Below are 18,754 nucleotides of genomic sequence, written 5' to 3'. Positions count from 1 at the left end.
TGTGTTCAATTTGTTTTCATGCATCCAGCTGTACAATTACGATTAGTGCACTTTTCTTTGTGTATATTATATGATAATACAGAGCTTATTATTCTAAATATGTTGACATCCTAGCATAAACAGAGGCAGTAACAACAGCATTACAGTATTAAGTAAATTACTAAGTACCTGGATTTTGCAGGTTTTGATTGTTAGTTTTATTGCAAAGAAATATTTTTACATTAATAACAAAATTATTAATTTTAATCTTAAGTGTATGAGTCGTCTAGCTTTCACAATGAACTTATAGTCACAAAATGTATTTTATTGTGCACAAAGAGCAATTGAATGATTAAGATAAGCATTTGATTACACTGCTAAACTCTAGACATGTGCTGGAGACAATAATTGATACGTCATTAATGCTCAGAACACCAGGAGAATCAGGCAAATATGTTTGACAGAGCTTATATATACTAATATCTTCTCCCTACTCCCTTTTCAAAAAAAACCTCAGTATTTCAGCGTTTCAAGGCTGTGGAATGCTATTAGAAGAAATATAAGGTGGTGATGTAATAGAGGGGTTGTATTAGTTTGCTTGGGGCCTGCCATAAGAAAGTGCCACAGACTGGGTTGGTTAAACAACAGAAATTGATTTTCCCTCGGTTTTAGATGCTGGAAGTCCAAGATCAAGGTGTCAACAGGTTTGGTTTCTCCTGACACCTCTCTCCTTGGCTCATGGATGGCCACCACTTGCTGTGTCCTCATGTAGCTTCTTGACTGTGCAGGTGTAACCCCAGTGTCTCTTTCTCCTCTTATAAGAACGCCAGTCATATTGGACCAGAGCCTACTCTAACGGCCTCACTTTTAACTTAGTTACCACTTTAAAGATCTTCTCTTCAAATACAGTTATATTCTGAAATACTAGGGGTTGGGACCTCCACATATGAATTTTGAGGGGGGCACAATTCAAGTCACAATAAGTTGCTATCTTATTTTTTACATATATATTGCATTGATTCTACCTGTGCTTAAAAACATACAGTGTAGCATAGAATTACTCTTCTCTTCCCCATGCCAAAGAAATGCAAATAACTTGGAAATGTTATTTCCCACAAGAATTATATACAGATCGTAAATTGCATAGAAATAATCATAGGTTTAGTTCTAAAATTGTTACTTAATGTTCTCCCAAAATAGCTGAAATGGTATTTTTTAAAAAGGATACAGCTAAAATGATTAGATATTAGATTATCTTTTATTGCTGAAGACAAATATTCTAGTAGAGGGAATCTTTGTGGAAGTCTATATTGTTAGGTGGTAATTAAGATTACAATGTGATAAAGATGTGATTTTTAAGTAAGTGTTGCTAAAAATGTATATATAATTTTTTTCCTTTGCCTGGAGTGCTTCTTCTCTTCCCACTTTCTTTTACATGTCTTAAAACTTCAATTTTCTCAGAGAAGCCTATCCTGACCCTTTCCCCATTATATAGTTGATTCCCCCATTATTCTCATAGAGAACCTTTTATCTTTCAAGGTACTTATAATTAAAATCACCTTATTTATAACTATCTGATTAGTGTTGGTCCTAGCCACTCATTTTTTTTTCTAATTTTTAATTTTTGTGGGTACATAGTTTATATATGTATTTATGGTATACATGAGATATTTTGATATAGGCATACAATGCTTAATAATCACATCTGAGTAAATGGGGTATCCATCACCTAAAGCATTCATTTTTTGTGTTACAAACAATCCAACTATATTCTTTTAGTTATTTGTAAATGAACAATTAAATTATTATTGATTATATTCACGCTGTTGGGCTATCAAGTACTAGGTCTTATTCTTTCTGACTATTGTTTTGTACCCATTAACTACCCTCACTTCCTTCCCCATTACCCCGTCCCCCCCACTACCCTTCTCAGTCTCTGGTACCCATCCTTCCATTCTCTATCTCCATGAGTTCAATTGTTTTAATGCTTAGCTCCCACAAATAAGTGAGCACATGTGAAGTTCGTCTTACTTCACCTGGCTCATTTCACTTAACATAAGGACCTCCACTTCCATCTATGTTGTTGCAAATAACAGGATCTCATTCCTTTTTATGGCTGAATAGTACTCCATTCCATATATGTACTACGTTTTCTTTATCCACTCATCTCCTGATGGACACTTAGGTTGCTTCCAGTTCTTGGCTATATTGTGAATAGTGCTGTAGTAAATATGGGAGAGCAGATATCTCTTAGATATATGGATCTCCTTTCTTTTGGGCATATACCTACCAGTGGAATTGCTGGGTCATATGGCAGCTCTGTTTTTAGTTTTTTGAAAAATCTCCAAACTATTCTCCATAGTGATTGTACTAATTTACATTCCCACGAACAGTGTATGAGAGTTCCCTCTCCACATCCTCACCAGCATTTGTTACTACCTGTCTTTGGATAAAAGACATTTTAACTGGGGTGAGATGATATCTCACTGTAGTTTTGATTTGCATTTTTCTAATGATCAGTGATGTTGGGCACCTTTTCCTATGCCTGTTTGCCATCTGTATGTCTTCTCTTGAGAAATGTCTATTCAGATTTTTTGCCCATTTTAAAATTGGATTATTAGATTTTTTCCTACAGAGTTGTTTGAGCTCTTATATATTCTGGTTGTTAATCCCTTGTCAGATAGATAGTTTGTAAATATTTTCTCCCATTCTGTGGGTTGTCTCTTTGCTTGGTGGATTGTTTCCTTTGCTGTGCAGAAGCTTTTTAACTTGATGTGATCCCACTTGTCCATTTTTGCTTTGGTTGCCTGTGCTTGCCATCTACCAATTTTAAGCTTCATGGAGGACAGCAACCATATGTTTTATGCTCACTCCTTTTGACCTATATTTCCTAGTACTGAAACAATTAGCAGTGAGTAGCATTCAGCAAATATTTATAAAATAATATTTGTAGAATAGTTGAACCATCAGTATGTTTCAGACTACAGATATCATTTGGTTATAGTTTAATGCCTGGGAAATTGGGCTAACTTCTGTTTGTATTTCTGTCTAGAATGTGGCAGATCAGATTGCATTTCAAGCTGCTGGTGGATTAACAGCCCTTGAACACATCCTTCAAGCAGTAGTCCCAGCCACAAATGTGAACACAGTTTTAAGAATTCCTCCTAAGTAAGTATAGTTTCTTAATCTATTTTTTACGTTTCATTTGTGAGTCATTTCTGCCCTATGGTTTCCATATGGAGAACCACAAGAAAATTGTATGTGTATTCAGGGTTGAATACCAAAATCTTACACTCCCCATTAGGGAGAAAAACAGAGGTGCTCAACGTCACTTACGAAACTCAAATTGAGCCTAAAAAGCCTTATAAAGGAAATCTCTTTGGTCTGTGATGTGCTCTAATCTGAAATCAAGAAGAATTGATGAACTCTTGAGCAATTCTAACTGCTTCCAAAAATTGAGCAAAATAAATAATAGTAACAGAAAGCTAACTTACTGTGTTACATGTGAAAAAAGAGGTGAGTAAGTACATTAGCAAAAGTCTGAGCTGTGAAATTGCAAGAAGTTCCTACCATACAGGAAGAGCAGTCAGAGGCGAAGAGTGCCATAGTCTAGCATCCCAGCCAAATTGCTGGGAACTGAGTTGCACGTTGGTCTTTAACGGTAAATTGCTTTCCTGTTCTCTTAAGTCCCCCTTTAGTCCCTGGCCACCTGGGGTATAGCAGCAATGTTGTTTCAGAAGTATTGTGTTCCTGGGTTGTAACGTCTGCAGTTTCTGGGTATTTTGTGGAGACTCTTATTTACAGAGTTTAAATAAGAGGTTTTAATAAAAGTTCATTTAGGCAGGGCGCAATGGCTCACATCTATGATCCCAGCACTTTGGGAGGTCAAGGCAGGAGGATCACTTGAGGCCAGAAGTTCAAGGCTAGCCTGGGCAATGTAGCGAGACCCCGTCCCTACAAAACATTAACAAATTTAGCCAGGCATAGTGGCACACACCTGTAGTCCCAGCTACTCAGGAGGCTAAGAAAGGAAGGATCACTAGAGCCCAGGAGGTCAAGGCTGCTGTGAACCATGATTGCATCACCACATTCTAGTCTGGGCAACAGAGCAAGACCCTGTCTCAAAAAGAAAAAAAAAAAAGTAAATGCTTCATTTGTCCATTGGATACAACAGGAAAAAAAATTCCAAGAGTATGTTATCTTTTTTTTCTGAGAGGCATTTGTATTAAAAAGAAATAGCATTGGCTTTGGAGTAGGACAAACATGGGTTCTAGTTTTACCTCTGCCAGGCTACTAGCTAAGAAAATTTGAGTGAGTGCCTTAATTTCATTGCATCTGTTTCCTTATTTGGAAAAATAAATGTAATCATATTCACCTCGTGGTGCTACTATGGGACCGGTTGAAATAACATATATGAGACCTCTTTGTAAACTGTTAAGTGTTCATTATAGTGTATATTTGTATATTATAATGTAAAGTTACATTATAAATGTTAAGTGAGAGTTTAGACAGTGCTAGCTACCTGACATGAGATATTTCTAAGTACAAGCTTTTGACATTAAAGATAATTTGGATTCCTTTCCTCTATTCACAAAGATTAATGAAGAATGGTATAGGTATTCTTTAAGTCAGGAAATCTTTCTGTGGAGCAGAAAGCTCCCCATCAGGCAAGTTATAGCATGCATAGTGGTTTTTATAACCCAGAAGGGTTGCTATTCCTTATCAATATGGACTTTATTTACAGGGTGTTGCTGGGCAGGTTATCTTCACTTACTGTATGTTAATTGGCAGGGAGGAAGGTAGAAAGGAAGAAAGGAATGAAATATAATAAATATTTGAAATAAGAAAGGAAATGATATTGATTCTTTGGGAGAGTGCTTTGATAACTGTTAATAATTTATATTGTTCATCTTAAATTCACCTGGAGGTTTTTTGTTTTGTTTTTGTTTTGTTTTGTTTTGTTTTGTTTTCTGGTAGGCTTCAACGTGCATGACACTAAGCTCTCTGATTGGTAACCTGGATTAAATGCCTATTTCCCAAAAGCTGCTATTGTCATTGTGACAGAGTATGTTGTTCTGGTGCTTATCTCTGCCTCTTGTTTAGGAAATGGAAGAGGCGTCCACAGTTCCTATAAAGACCTAAGCAAGAATTAGCACACTTCCTTTGCAAAGGAGCTGTGGAATCTTGAGAGTCCAGACCAGTGCCCTGCAGCTGGTCAGCACTAGCTGACCCACAGGGTCAGGATTAAGAGCTTGTTCCTTCATCTCACTTTAAGCCAATAGATTTGTGTTTTCTTTTCTTTTAAATTATACTTTAAGTTCTAGGGTACATGTGCACAACGTGCAGGTTTGTTACATATGTATACATGTGCCATGTTGGTGTGCTGCACCCATTAACTCATCATTTACATTAGGTATATCCCCTAATGCTATCCCTCCCCCCTCCTCCCACCCCACGACAGGCCCCGGTGTGTGATGTTCCCCACCCTGTGTCCAAGTGTTCTCATTGTTCAATTCCCACCTATGAGTGAGATCATGTGGTGTTTGGTTTTCTATCCTTGCGATAGTTTGCTGAGAATGATGGTTTCCAGCTTCATCTATGTCGCTACAAAGGACATGAACTCATCCTTTTTTATGGCTGCATAGTATTCCACGGTGTATATGTGCCACATTTTTCTTAATCCAGTCTATCATTGATGGACATTTGGGTTGGTTCCAAGAGAGAGTGTGGCGATTCCTCAAGGATCTAGAACTAGAAATACCATTTGACCCAGCCATCCCATTACTGGCTGTATACCCAAAGGATTATAAATCATGCTGCTGTAAAGACACATACACATGTATGTTTATTGTGGCACTATTCACAATAGATTTGTGTTTTCAACTAAGTGCTACTTATTAAGGGAGTCTAGCACCCAGAGCTGTGGGCATCCAGCATTGACTCTAAGATTCTTCTATCCTCAGCACAGTCTCCATATCATAACTCTACTTTCTAAACCAGCTTCAATTTTCAGGGCTAAAGGATTAAAGCCAGGAGAGTGTTATGCTGTTTACTCAGAGAACAGCAAGAGGAATTTTGTAACCACTTCAGATTTAAATGTAGAATAAGAGCATACTGGTGGACATGAGTCAGTGGCTTACTTCAAAAAATACTCTTTCTCATTTTCCTTCCAGTTGCTCTCCTGCACAAATCCCTGCCCAGGCCTTGGGCTTTCCATAGTCCCTGGGCACTTCTTTGTTCTCAGCCTGTCCAGAATCTTTCCATCCCTAGCGGGTTCCCACCCCTCAACTCCATGAACCTTTTGCCACCTTAGCCCTTGCTGTTTCCTGCCTCCTGTGGCATTTCATGGCTTTTACCTAAGGAGGCTAGTTTAGAATATCCTGTTTAATTTTTCTCAGTGATAAATAGCAGAGGATTTGATAAGTTTAAGCCACTGTCTCATAACAGTTACCCTGTTGAAACCTAGAGTCCTATGGCCATAAACCTTACGTGTCACTGCTTCTGAAGCCCTGACTCTTTGTTAGTGGATAAACCAGCTTCCTGTCCTCTTTTCTTACCATCCTGTTCATATCTTTTTACTTCACATAGTACGTCAGTAGTTGCATGTCTTGTTTGTCCTATAATTAAGCAACTTCGTGTGAATGAATATTTGCTTCCAGAAGCTTTTTTTTTTTTTTTTTTACATGAAATTGAGAGTTATACCTACTTCTGGAAATGTAACTTTTTGAAACCTTTCTGAGTCTGCAGTAGGTTGTTTTGCTCTTATCAGAACCAGGGAAAGGCCATAAAACTGCTTTAATTATTTTCAAGTTATCATTGAAAGGGCTTAGGTCAGGATGTGTTATTACAAAATCAATCATTTAAACAAATGTACTCCAATAAAATTGTTTTCAGTGCCAAGAAAGATCACCCTGAAACAAGGCAGTTTGTATCTCCTTTGGGGTAGACTAATGTTATTCTGCCTACAAACTTTTTTTTTTTTTTTAGACAGGGTTTTACTCCGTCACCCAGGCTGGAGTGCAGTGGTGCCATCTCGGCTCACTGTAACTTGCGCCTCCTGGGTTCAAGCGATTCACGTGCCTCAGCCTCCCGAGTAACTGGGATTACAAGCACACGCCACCATGCCTGGCTCTTTTTTTTTGTATTTTTAGTAGAGACAGGGTTTCACGATGTTAGCCAGGATGGTCTCAAACTCCTGACCTCAAATGATCCTCCCACCTTGGCCTCCCCAACCTACAAACTTTTAATTCCAGAAAACAAGTACAGACAAATGAATGACATCTTCTAGCCTTTTTAAAACTTTAGACTAATAATAGTGGTTCATCATAGCTTTTTAATATTTGAAAATAAATAGGAGTTTTCACTTTCTTTGAGCATAAAGAATGGCCCATGTTACGTAAATAAGAAGATGAATCTGCTGTGACTAGAAGCAGCTGTACCAAAACTTTGTGTTGCCAGTTTGTAGTATATGTACTTAGTAGCAATGGTAATTAAAGTGAGAGGTGGCACTAAACTGGCCCTCCACATCACCAAGCCCTTTCCAGGCAGCAGTAGATGTTCATAATTCACAAGGCAACCAGCAAACCTCTTGGGCCACCAAAAAGAGTCTTCCCCAGGTTGTCTTTTACTTACTTAAGATTCATAATTTCTGATAGTTACACAAGGACCAGGGGCCAAATAGTAAACTCTGAGCTACTTTAGGTTGTTCTGCTGGGGAACTAACCAGGTGCCTATTTCTTCTCTGTCAGCCTTGCTTATCTCTTCATCGTCCCTGTGGACACAGTTTTTCATACAGAAGTACATTCATCAACACAAAGCAAAGCAGACAGCATGGTATAGTGAAAAATGTGTAGGCTGTAGTGTCAGATCCAGGCTTAACTCTGCTTTTTACTGATTAGCTATATGACCTTGGGCCAAACTACTTGTTATAACAGAGCCTCAATTAAATGGGAAGACTAATACCTACCTTATAGAACTGTTATGAGGATTAAAAGTGCATGTGTTTAAGTCCCTGCACAAAGAAAGCACTTAGTTATTTTCATTGTTTTTTGTTGTAGTTATTGTTTTGACTCCATATTATACTGCCTAATTACTGAGCTTTAAATCCCTAAGTCTTTGTCACTTTGGCTTCTAAGAAGCCATAATCTATTAATTTTATTGGGCATTTCTGTTTTTCACCCTAAATTCAAACTTCATCTTGGTAAATTTTAGCCAAGTCTGTCAAGATCCTGATGTGACCACTTATTCAGTTTCATTTTCCTTAACTTTGTGTCAGCCCTAAAGTTGATCTGTAGAACATTTGTGTCTTCATCTTATCACTTAAAAAAATATCAAATGGGTTAGAGAATAGTTCGGCTTAGCACTTTATTATGTGCTGCATTGCCAAGTACTCCGTCTGCTGTACCATCATCTCCCCAAGTAGATTGTAAGTCCTTAGGATCATGAGACATAGTAAATACATTATTTGTAAATCATAGGACATCATAGTCAATATTGTGTGACTATATGAATGAATTCTTTCTCCAGCAGATGAAAGCAAAGCAGTAAAAGGGCATACCGCATCAAATACTGGACTCTATAGACTTACAATTTGATCTCATTTTTGCCAAATATGGCCCATCTGATTTTGGCATTTGATTTCCATGTAGAGCTGTCAGGTATATTACATTTATTTAACAATCAGAGCATTTGGCATGTTTTCACCATTATCACACTATATAAATGAAGAAACCAAAGGTTTTAAAGACTGAATAACTTACCCTCCATCATCAGTTTAGCTGAGCTAGGTGTGAGCATCCTATTCTTCTCTGTTAGATGGATTTTAGGCAATGGCTTCTTTAGTCTATCTTTAAACTTCCATGAGTTTTTGAATGTCATGTATCTGTGACTGTTGCTTACTCAAAAGGCCAAAGAGTATGCTAGAACTGTATTCTTAAGGTCATTGTCCTTATCACAGTTTTAGAATAAGAGCACATCAGTAGGTATAAGATTGCCCCATTTTAAACTAATAGGAAAAATAATTCTTTTTTGTAAGGTATGCCCAGTTATTCATATCAAATAGATCAGTAAAGTTGCTTTTTATTTCTTTACAGTATATGCATTTATCTGCCTATAGTAAATCCATGCTACCCAGACCAAGCAATACTCATCAAATATAATTTTAAAAAAATTCGAATGATGTGAAATGGAGCTTTGTTCACTAGGAAGATCATTTACAAGATATCACAAATTTATTCTCCAAAGTAAAACTTGTGACTTTACTTGGCAATATTGCATTTACCTCATCCTTTGAGTTGGTAAGGAGATACAAACTAACATTTATTGTGTGCTTGGTGCCAAGCACTGTGCTAGATGCTCTGCACGTATTACGTTGTTTATTCCTCACAATCACCAGCAACCATGTATGTGGCTCACTGCCAGATGAAGGTTGGAAGCAGTCACATTGGGGTATGACTACAACTTGACAGAGCTATGATAACCCCTTTAAAAGAGTGTTTATTCTTTTCAAATAGCAGAAAGAATGTTCAGAGAGAACGTTAGCAGAGAGAATGTTCAGAATTGCTCTCCCGTGACTTATTGAGGTTTGTCTCCAAAGCCTTCTGTTTCCCTCTCTTTGTGTTGTGTAGAGGCTGATGCAATTCCTCTTACAATAGAAAGAAGATATCTCACTGTGCTCCAGAAGCAGGTAAATAATCTAGGGCTTCCAGTCCTTAATCCCAGAAAACTATTTTCTAGCGTTTTCCTTCTTTGGATCACTTGTGGGCATGGGAATGGGATTGCCATACCTAGAAACCATTTGAAATAGACCCTGTCCTTAGGGAACTTACAGTCACGGAAAATGAGACATATTAAACTCTAAATATTAGTAGTAGTAGCCTACTGTGTTACCTTTGTGGAACAGCCACCCTGGTGGTATAACAGAAGACTCTTCATTAAAGGAATGTCTTGTTACATACGCCAATATCTGTCAACTTAGTTTCCTGAGATGCCAGGCCTCATGTGCTTATTTTTTTTTTTTTTTTTTTTTTTTTTTTTTTGAGACGGAGTCTCGCTCCATCACCAGGCTGGAGTGCAGTGGCACAATCTCGGCTCACTGCAACCTCTGTTTCCGAGGTTCAAGCAATTCTCCTGCCTCAGCCTCCCGAGTAGCTGGGATTACAGGTGTGTGCCACCACACCCAGCTAATTTTTCTATTTTTAGTAGAGATGGGGTTTCACCATGTTGGTCAGGCTGGTCTCGATCTCGTGACCTCATGATCCACCCACCTCGGCCTCCCAAAGTGCTGGGATTACAGGCATGAGCCACCGTGCCCGGCCATGTGCTTACTTCTTATTCCAGTCTCTTGACTCATTTGGCTGTTCTCTTTGGGACTCATCTACTATTAAGTCTTTGCCTTTGTGTCTTCAGTTTGCAACAAAATCTAGACTCTCACAGTTTTTACTATGAGTTTCCTTCCTTGTTACCTTTTCTTCTTTCTTGTTGGCTTGCCATAATCACCTTCTCCCTTCCTATTTGTTGTGTCCTTCTTTTTTTCAGTGTTTTATGAATACTACTTGTTCTAGGCATTACATCCATGCCTCGTCAGCTATGTTTTATGCCATCCATGTGGTGCTCCCCTCAATGGCCATAGCTGACTAAACTCTAAAGAGAGGTCATCTGACTCAAGAGCAACCAATCTACAGACCAGCCAGCAAGATAGGATTTATAATCCAATACACAAAGTTGAACTGGCTCAGTCAAGTTTCTTTCTCAGGAATTTGCATTTGGGAAGTTGCAGAACTTCAAGTGATTTTTTTTCTTAGGTATTTGAATTTGAATAATCATGTAGATTCACTTCTGGGATGGCCATTACAGGACTATGTGCATTCCAGGTTTTACAGGACTAAGGAAGGCCGTTTTGGGAAAAAAAAAAAAAAAGAGGAGACCAAAACTGCTTCATGGGACAGAAGGGGGCTGGAAATGAAAGCAGTCTAGTCCACAGAGCTAGCATTGTTCCAGCTCTCTTGAGGTATGGTTGTTCATTTTCTCCTGGACTTATGTGAAAGTTCCCAATAGCCTTACAATAAATGGCTCTTTTTACTTAAAATATTTTGAGTAAATTTTTGTTCCTTCCAGCCAAATGAACCTGATACTTTCAGATACATATAGTAAAGATTATTTTAACACTAGATTGGCTTGAAAATATTTGACTTTGCTATAGAGCCTTCCTTGTGTCCTCATAGTTGTTTTTCAAAATTCTTCACATCAAAAAAGAATGAATAAATGCCCACCGTTTAAAGTAGGAATAAAGAGAGAAAGTATACTCTATAAGCTCTCTAGGGTACATTTCTTTATGAACGTTAAATGCCATTACTACAAGCTGGGACTGACTGAACTTTCCTTTTTTCTGTCAACCTCAGTTTGGATAATCTATATAGAAAATGACATTCATTAAACTTACTATCCCTAGGTCCTAAGGTAAACACACTTAAAAAGAACATACCTACAGTGAAGAGCTTATCTTCAGAATCAAAGAAAAGAAAATATATCATGTATAGTTCTTTAAGAAAAATACAAGTTCTGTAAGAACAAATAACAGTACCGCTCATATTCTTTATAACTCTCAAATGTTACTTTCTAGGGGGACTTAGTGTCCCAGACTGGTTATCTCATCATTAACTTTATAATGAGCACTTAATTTGAAACCCAAGAGCATTGTCTTATATTTACAAACAACTGAAAAGTGTATTTCTTCAGACCCTACTCTCTCAGACTTGATCATAATGGGCTATAGTCCAGCTTTTTAATTAAAAAAAAAAAGGTTGTTAATGAGAAACTTAAACATTTCACCAATGATTTTCCTGAAATTAGAAGCCAGTTGCCTATTATGAAAGTGAGGTTAAGGTGTTCAGAAGGCATGCGATTATAAGAGCATACCCACATAGACCTCTTTTTTTCCTTCCCTCTTGTCCCTTCCCCCCTTCCACCTTTCATCTCTCTCTCATTCTGTGTGTGTGTGTGTGTGTGTGTGTGTGTGTGTGTGTGTGTGTGTGTCTCTCTCTTTTGCTTTCTTTCTCTTTCTCCCTCTCAAATCCTGGTAGCATAATACAGCTCAGAACTTTAATCCTACAGCTACAAGATAAAGCTTTACTATATTATGCCTTTATTATTTACATTTAACAGTGCAGTTTCAACTGCTAAGAGGAAGAAACAGCATTTGAAAAATATAAATGATCTTTTCTTAGTTAAGTCATTTTACTGTGCTGAACAGAATGAAGAAAATCATTGGTTTATATCATTTCAAAGCTATTTTGGAGTTGCAGTTTTGTTCCTCTCTGGAAAACCAAGAAGTATCTCCATATTATTCATCTACCCCAAACCCCAAAGAATGACATAGTCAAGTACCAGATGCACATTTTCAGAGCATTGCATCGTCTCTCTCTCTCTTTTTTTTTTTTTTTTTTTTTTTTGAGACCAAGTCTTGCTCTGTTGCCCAGGCTGGAGAGCAGTGGCACAATCTCGGCTCACTGCAACCTCCGCCTCCTGGGTTCAAGCGATTCTCCTGCCTCAGCCTCCCAAGTAGCTGGGATTACAGGCACATGCCACCATGCCCGGGTAATTTTTGTATTTTTAGTAGAGACAGGGTCTCACCAGGTTGGCCAGGCTGGTTTCAAACTCCTGACCTCAGGTGATCCACCTGCCTCGTCCTCCCAAAGTGCTGGGATTACAGGCGTGAGCCACCATGCCTGGTCTGCATCATCTCTTATTCCTCTCTCCCTCACCAGTGAGAAATGCAAAACTTCATTCCGGATTGGGTTGTTGTTTTACCAGTGTCAATACTAGAGAGTGAACGTATTAAGAAAAAATTGCTCTGGTAGGTGTTGGGTTCATATTTTCTGATAAAAGCCACAGTGTTGAGATTTTTTTTAATGTAACCCATCTATGCCATGGTAAGGCATTTGATTTCCATGTAGAGCTGCCAGGCATATTGCATTTATTTAACAATCAGAGTATTTGGCATGTTTTCACCATTATCACACTATATAAATGAAGAAACCAAAGGTTTTAAAGACTGAATGATTTACCCTCCATCATCAGTTTAGCTGAGCTACGTTTGAGCATCCTATTCTGGTCTTCCTTCTGTACCTTATTGCCTGCATGCTATCATCAGAGAGAAATATTATCAGTCTGCCAGTATTTGTTGAATTTCTTCTGTGATGAGTTTTGTCTTCAAAGAGCTTACATCATAGTTGAGAAGAGATATTCTCAACTATATTGATAAGATAGAATATCTTATCAATCAATAAGATATTCTATACTACACAACAAAACAATTAAATTATTTAAGAGTAAGCAAAAAGTACTATTTGGTTCGAAGGTTGCGTCAATGAGCGTTCTTGGTTGGATCTCTTACAAAGTTAGTGTTTGCAGGGTGACGACAGCTGTACTTTTCTTTCTGATTTATGAACATAAAACTTTCACTATTTTAATAAAAGTAAAATATCATTTCATTGATATAAAAAAACTGTGAGTTGCTGGAAGACTGAAATATTGTTTAGTCGATTGGTTTTGGATTTTTGGCTTGGGTGTTTTTGTACTGGTTTATTGATGTGGGTATAGGAAATTATCTGTGGAATCATTTTTCCCACCTAGCAGACTAGGAACCAAAGAGGAACTGACCTAACAGAACATGAGAAAGGTGAACCAAAAACCACATGTAGCTGTTTGTATGTGTGAGACGAAATGTTCACGTAAGATCCAGCAATGAAGTCTAAAAATGAAATACAACATTTCTGTGTGCTATAAACACTCTTTAAGGCTCAGATCAGCCAGCAAATGTGGAGTGAACTTATCATAGAATTTACTTCTTATAAGTAACAGATGAAGACATGGAACTGGAACCTATGTGTCACCTCCTGTGTCTGCTACATCATAGACCCCCAGTAAGCACTAATAAAAGAGTATTAGCCAGTTAGGGTAAAATTTATACTACAATCCATTGTTAATAAACACTTATTTCTAGTCAGGATGATTTTAATATAATTTTAAATATCTATTTTTAGATAAAAGTTTACTAAAAGTGAATAATTATCCCCAATAGACAATAAAAGTAAAAAATTATTTTGCAAGCTAATTAGCAATAGTGATTGATAAATACTCTTCTCCATTTGACATATTGAGGCATTTTGTTTATGTCTCAAAAGGCTTTATAGAGATGGTTACAGTTGACAGCTGTTGTACCACTAATAAGATTAAAGAAATTAGTTGTGTCAACTTTAATCTGCTATTTAACACTGCAAACCACCTGGGGTCTTCTCCAGAGGCAACATGTTTAATTGTGAATTTAAAATTACATAACCAGATCTTACTTAAGAACATATCTACAGACTTACTAATCATAGTCGTCTTGTTATTAACAAATTCATGTTAACAGTAAAAATAATGCTCTAGCACTAGAGTTTAAAATTAATGAACTAATTTGATGCTCACCCTACTTTTTTAAATATATTATTGTAATCTTTGAAACATAACACTTTCTCAGTCAGAGGCTAATTTGAGGAAATACAGAAAGTCTAATTAGATTGGTGTTTAAAATATATATGATTTCCTTTCTAAAGTTAGAATGTCTCTGTGGAATAATTAAATTGCCTATTCTATTAGGACCAGATTCACCAATTAAGTAAAAACCCTTGAAATAACACATCTAGTTGAAGATTATGTACTCCTTATTCTGAAGCAACATTATAATTAGGAAAATAGTTTAATTTTAACATTAATTTTGTTGTTATTAAAATGTTATATTTTATGATATGAAGTGCAGGGAAATAATCATTTGTGATTGTTATATTGACTTGATGCAAACTCAAGTTTAGGATGCATATAATTTATATCCCCACAGTGAAGATTCATTGTCAGAAAGTATTATTAGCACCCCTTGAAGACCCTTCTCTGGAGCTGGTTTGCTATTGCAGCATGGTGGTTCTCCCTACTATCCCCACCCACTCTAAGTGTTCTGGCTTCAGAAAGAACGAGCCGCAAGACAGGGAAGGCATTGTAGATAGCGTAGGTTTGCACTAGTCATCACAGTGCCAGTAGGAGAAATTTTCCCTCTTCATCCACAACTCATACTCTGATCCAAATATCCATCCCATTGTCTTCTGCAAAAAAAAAAAAAAAAACACTCTCAGATTGTGTTACAAGTCTAAATTCTCTGTGGTCACGAAAATGTCAAAACTGAATAATCTCTCTAAAGAGATTTTAAATCTTTCTCTACATTTTAAAATTTTCTGTCCCCAGGTTTTTTGCTGAGAGGACATTTTCTTATTATCAGTCCCCAAGCTTCTTGCTGAGAGGACATTTTCTTATTAACCAAGACTTATTCATCTAATTGCACTAATTTAATATCTTCTAGTTTTATCACTGAAACAATAACATTAAAAATATTTCCATATATGCAAGTCCACATGTAGGACTTCTTACAAATATGTTTTTCATCTCAAATACTATTTTTCTCTATTTCTGTTTAATATATTTTATTCTGATGAGTACTATACATTTAAAATATGTTTGGTACAACAGACCCAATGAGCATAACTAAAATGAGACTCCATTGGAAAAATTTTCAGGCTTGCCACAATAAATAAATTCATAAACATAATTAAATAGCAATTATAATTTAAAATTCATTGTTTTAATAATATGTATTTACTAGTAATTCTACTTTCTGTGGAGATGAACTAGGACATATGCCTGATACTGTCATTTGTGCTTGTAAATGAGATCTGGTTTTGCTCGTTTTAAAATTTTAAAGATCATAAGCCTTCCACATGTTTTCTAAGCTGAGAAGTATGATTTCTTCACTTTGGGGAGAGGAAGAGAGTATTATATTCATTAATTCCATCAATCAGGGTATATTTTTATGTTGCTGCTATAGATACATCACAGAATAAAACAGTTAATAAATGTGCACAAGATTTGAATAGACACTTCACCAAATAAGATACAAAGATGCCAAGTAAGCACATGAAGAGATTCTCAACATCATTAAGAAATACACACTAAAACTACAGTGAGACACTTCAACGTGTCAATTAGAATTGCTTAAAAAACAAAACAAGCCAGGCACGGTGGCTAACGCCTGTAATCCCAACACTTTGGGAGGCCAAGACAGGCAGATAACTTGAGGCCAAGAGTTCAAGACCAGCCTGGCCAACATAGTGAAACCCCGTCTCTATTAAAAATACAAAAATTAGCCGGGTGTGGTGGCAAACGCCTGTAATCCCACCTACTCAGGTGGCTGAGGCACGAGAATCACTTAAACCCAGGAGGCGGGGGTTGCAGTGAGCTTAGGTCACACCACTGCACTCCAGCCTGGGCAACAGAACAAGATTGTCTCAAAAACAGAAAACAAAAAAACAAAACCAGTAATACCAAGTGCTGGAGAGCATACACAGAGAAGTTGGAACTACATATACTACTTGTGGGAATGCAAAATGATACAGCCACTTTGGAAACAGTATGTAACTATCTCAAAAAGATAAACATATACTTAGTGTATGATCCAGCAATCCCACACCTGGGTAGTTACCTCAAAGGAATAAAAATACATGTTCTTACATATAATTTTTGTGTATGTATTTATATCATTTATAACTATAAATGAATGTTTATGGATGTTTTATGCATAATCACCCAAAACTGGTGAATGAATAAACAAACTGTGGTACATCTATGCAGTGACATACTATTCAGCAATAAATGTAACAGCAATCTTGAGAATGAAAAACAAAGCTGGAGTCATAACAGTTCCTGATTTCAAAATATGCGAAGATACAGTAATTGAAACAGTATTGTACTGGCATAAAGACAGGCATATAGAGCAATGGAGCAGAACAGAGAGTCCAAAAATCTGTGTATATACAGTCAACTGATTTTTTTTTAGCTAGAAATTATTCTTTATTGATTAAATCACCAGAAATTTTCAGCACAATATTTAACATCTTAATGACCACCAAGGCCTGGGCTCTAGGGCTCTCTCTGCCTCTTCTAGTCCTTAATTGGGTTTAAAGGGAGAAACATCATTAACAGAGACCAAGTCAGATGGAGTCAGCTGATCTTTGATAAGATTGTCAAGAATACACAACACAGGAAGGATAATCTTCAACAAATGGTGTTGAGAAAACTGGATATTCACAGGCAAAAGAATGAAACTGGACCCTTATCTTATACCCTAACACAAGAATCAACTGAAAATGGATTGAAGACTTAAACATAAGACCTGAAATTCTAAAATTAATGAAAGAAGACTTAGGGGAAGACCCTTATAATATTGATCTTGACAGTGAATTCATGGATATTACACCAAACACAGACCACAAAAGCAAAAACAAACAAATGGGACCACATTAAAATAAAAAGCTTTGTCACATCAAAGGAAACAATAGAATGAAAAGGCAATCTACAGAATGGGAAAATATTTGCAAACCATATCAGAGAAAGGGTTAAGTTCAAAATATGTAAGAAATTCTTACAACTCAACAAAAATATTAACAACTTAATTAAAAAATGGACAAAGGACTTAAATAGATCTACTATATCTTTACATGTCCAAAGAAGACATACAAATGGCCAAAAGATATATGAAAAGATGCTAAATGTCCCTAACTGTCAGAGGAATACAGTTCAAAACCACAACGAAATAGCACCTCACACCCATTAGGATGGTCGTTAACAAAACACAACAAGTGTTAACAAGAATGTGGAGAAATTGGGACCCTTGTACACTCTTCGTTGGAATCCAAAATGGTGCAGCCACTATGGAAAACAGTATAGATTCCTCAAAAAACTAAAAGTAGAACTACTGTATGACCCAGCATTCTCATTTCTGGTTATTTATCCAAAAGAATTAAAATCACAATCTCAAAGAGATATTACCACTTCTGTATTTATTTCAGCACTATTGACAATTTTGAGGAGGGGGAAACAACTTGAATGTCCATTGACATTCAGATGAGTAGACAAAGAAAATGTATACACATACAATGGAATATTACTTAGCCTTAAAGGAGAAGGAAATCCTGCAATATGTGACATAATGGTTGAACCATGAAGACATTATGTTGAGTGAAAAAAGCCATTCACACAAGGACAAATACTCCATGATTTTGTTTATATGAGGTATCTAAAATATTTAAATTCACAGAAGCAGAGAGCAGAACTATGGTTGCCAGGAGCATGGGAGAGGGGAAAATAGGGAGTTGCTAATCAACAGGCATAAAGTTTCAGTAATAAAAGATGAATAAATGCTAGAGATGTATTTTACAACACTGTGCCTAAAGTTAACAATATTGTATTATACACTTAAAAATATGCTGTGGGTAGATCTCATATTAAGTGTTTTTACCACAATAAAATAAATATAAAATTTTAAAAAGAGGGACAGACTACTGATGTATGCAACAACATGGATGAATCTCAAATGTATTGTGCTAAGTGAAAAAAGCCAGACTTAACAGCTACATGTGGCACAATTCCATGTATATGACATTCTAAAGAAGGCAAAACTACAGGAATAGAAAACAAGGGTTGGGAGAGGAGTTGACTAGAAAGAAGACAGCAAGGGGAATTTAGGGAGGTGGTAGATCTACTGTATCTTTATTGTGGTGGTTTCACAACTGAATGCATTTGTTCAAACTCTTTAAGAAAAGGGCTAATGTTAATTGTGTATAAATTGTACTTATATTTTTAAAATTACATAGCAAAAGAGCAAAAATAATATTAGGTTGGTGCAAAAGTA

General features: G+C 36.7%; 1 protein-coding gene across 25 annotated transcripts in view; it reads left to right on the top strand.

Annotated features, from left to right (window-relative positions):
• SCAPER (S-phase cyclin A associated protein in the ER) overlaps window positions 1-18,754 on the top strand; it is a 557,437-nt gene that overhangs the window by 397,335 nt on the left and 141,348 nt on the right. For all 25 annotated transcript variants that reach the window (NR_148227.2, XR_007064448.1, XM_017022273.2 and 22 more), the window contains one exon: window positions 3,032-3,147. Coding sequence is in view for 23 of the 25 variants with exons in the window: in XM_017022273.2 (XP_016877762.1) it covers window positions 3,032-3,147 (116 nt within the window). In the remaining 2 variants the exon portion in view is untranslated. The remainder of the gene's footprint in view (window positions 1-3,031; window positions 3,148-18,754) is intronic.

This window comes from Homo sapiens, chromosome 15, assembly GCF_000001405.40.
Source record: "Homo sapiens chromosome 15, GRCh38.p14 Primary Assembly".
NCBI classification, from domain to species: Eukaryota; Metazoa; Chordata; class Mammalia; order Primates; family Hominidae; genus Homo; species Homo sapiens.
The sequence above is the reverse complement of the archived record's forward strand: the minus strand, read 5'-3'. Positions and strand labels throughout refer to the sequence as shown.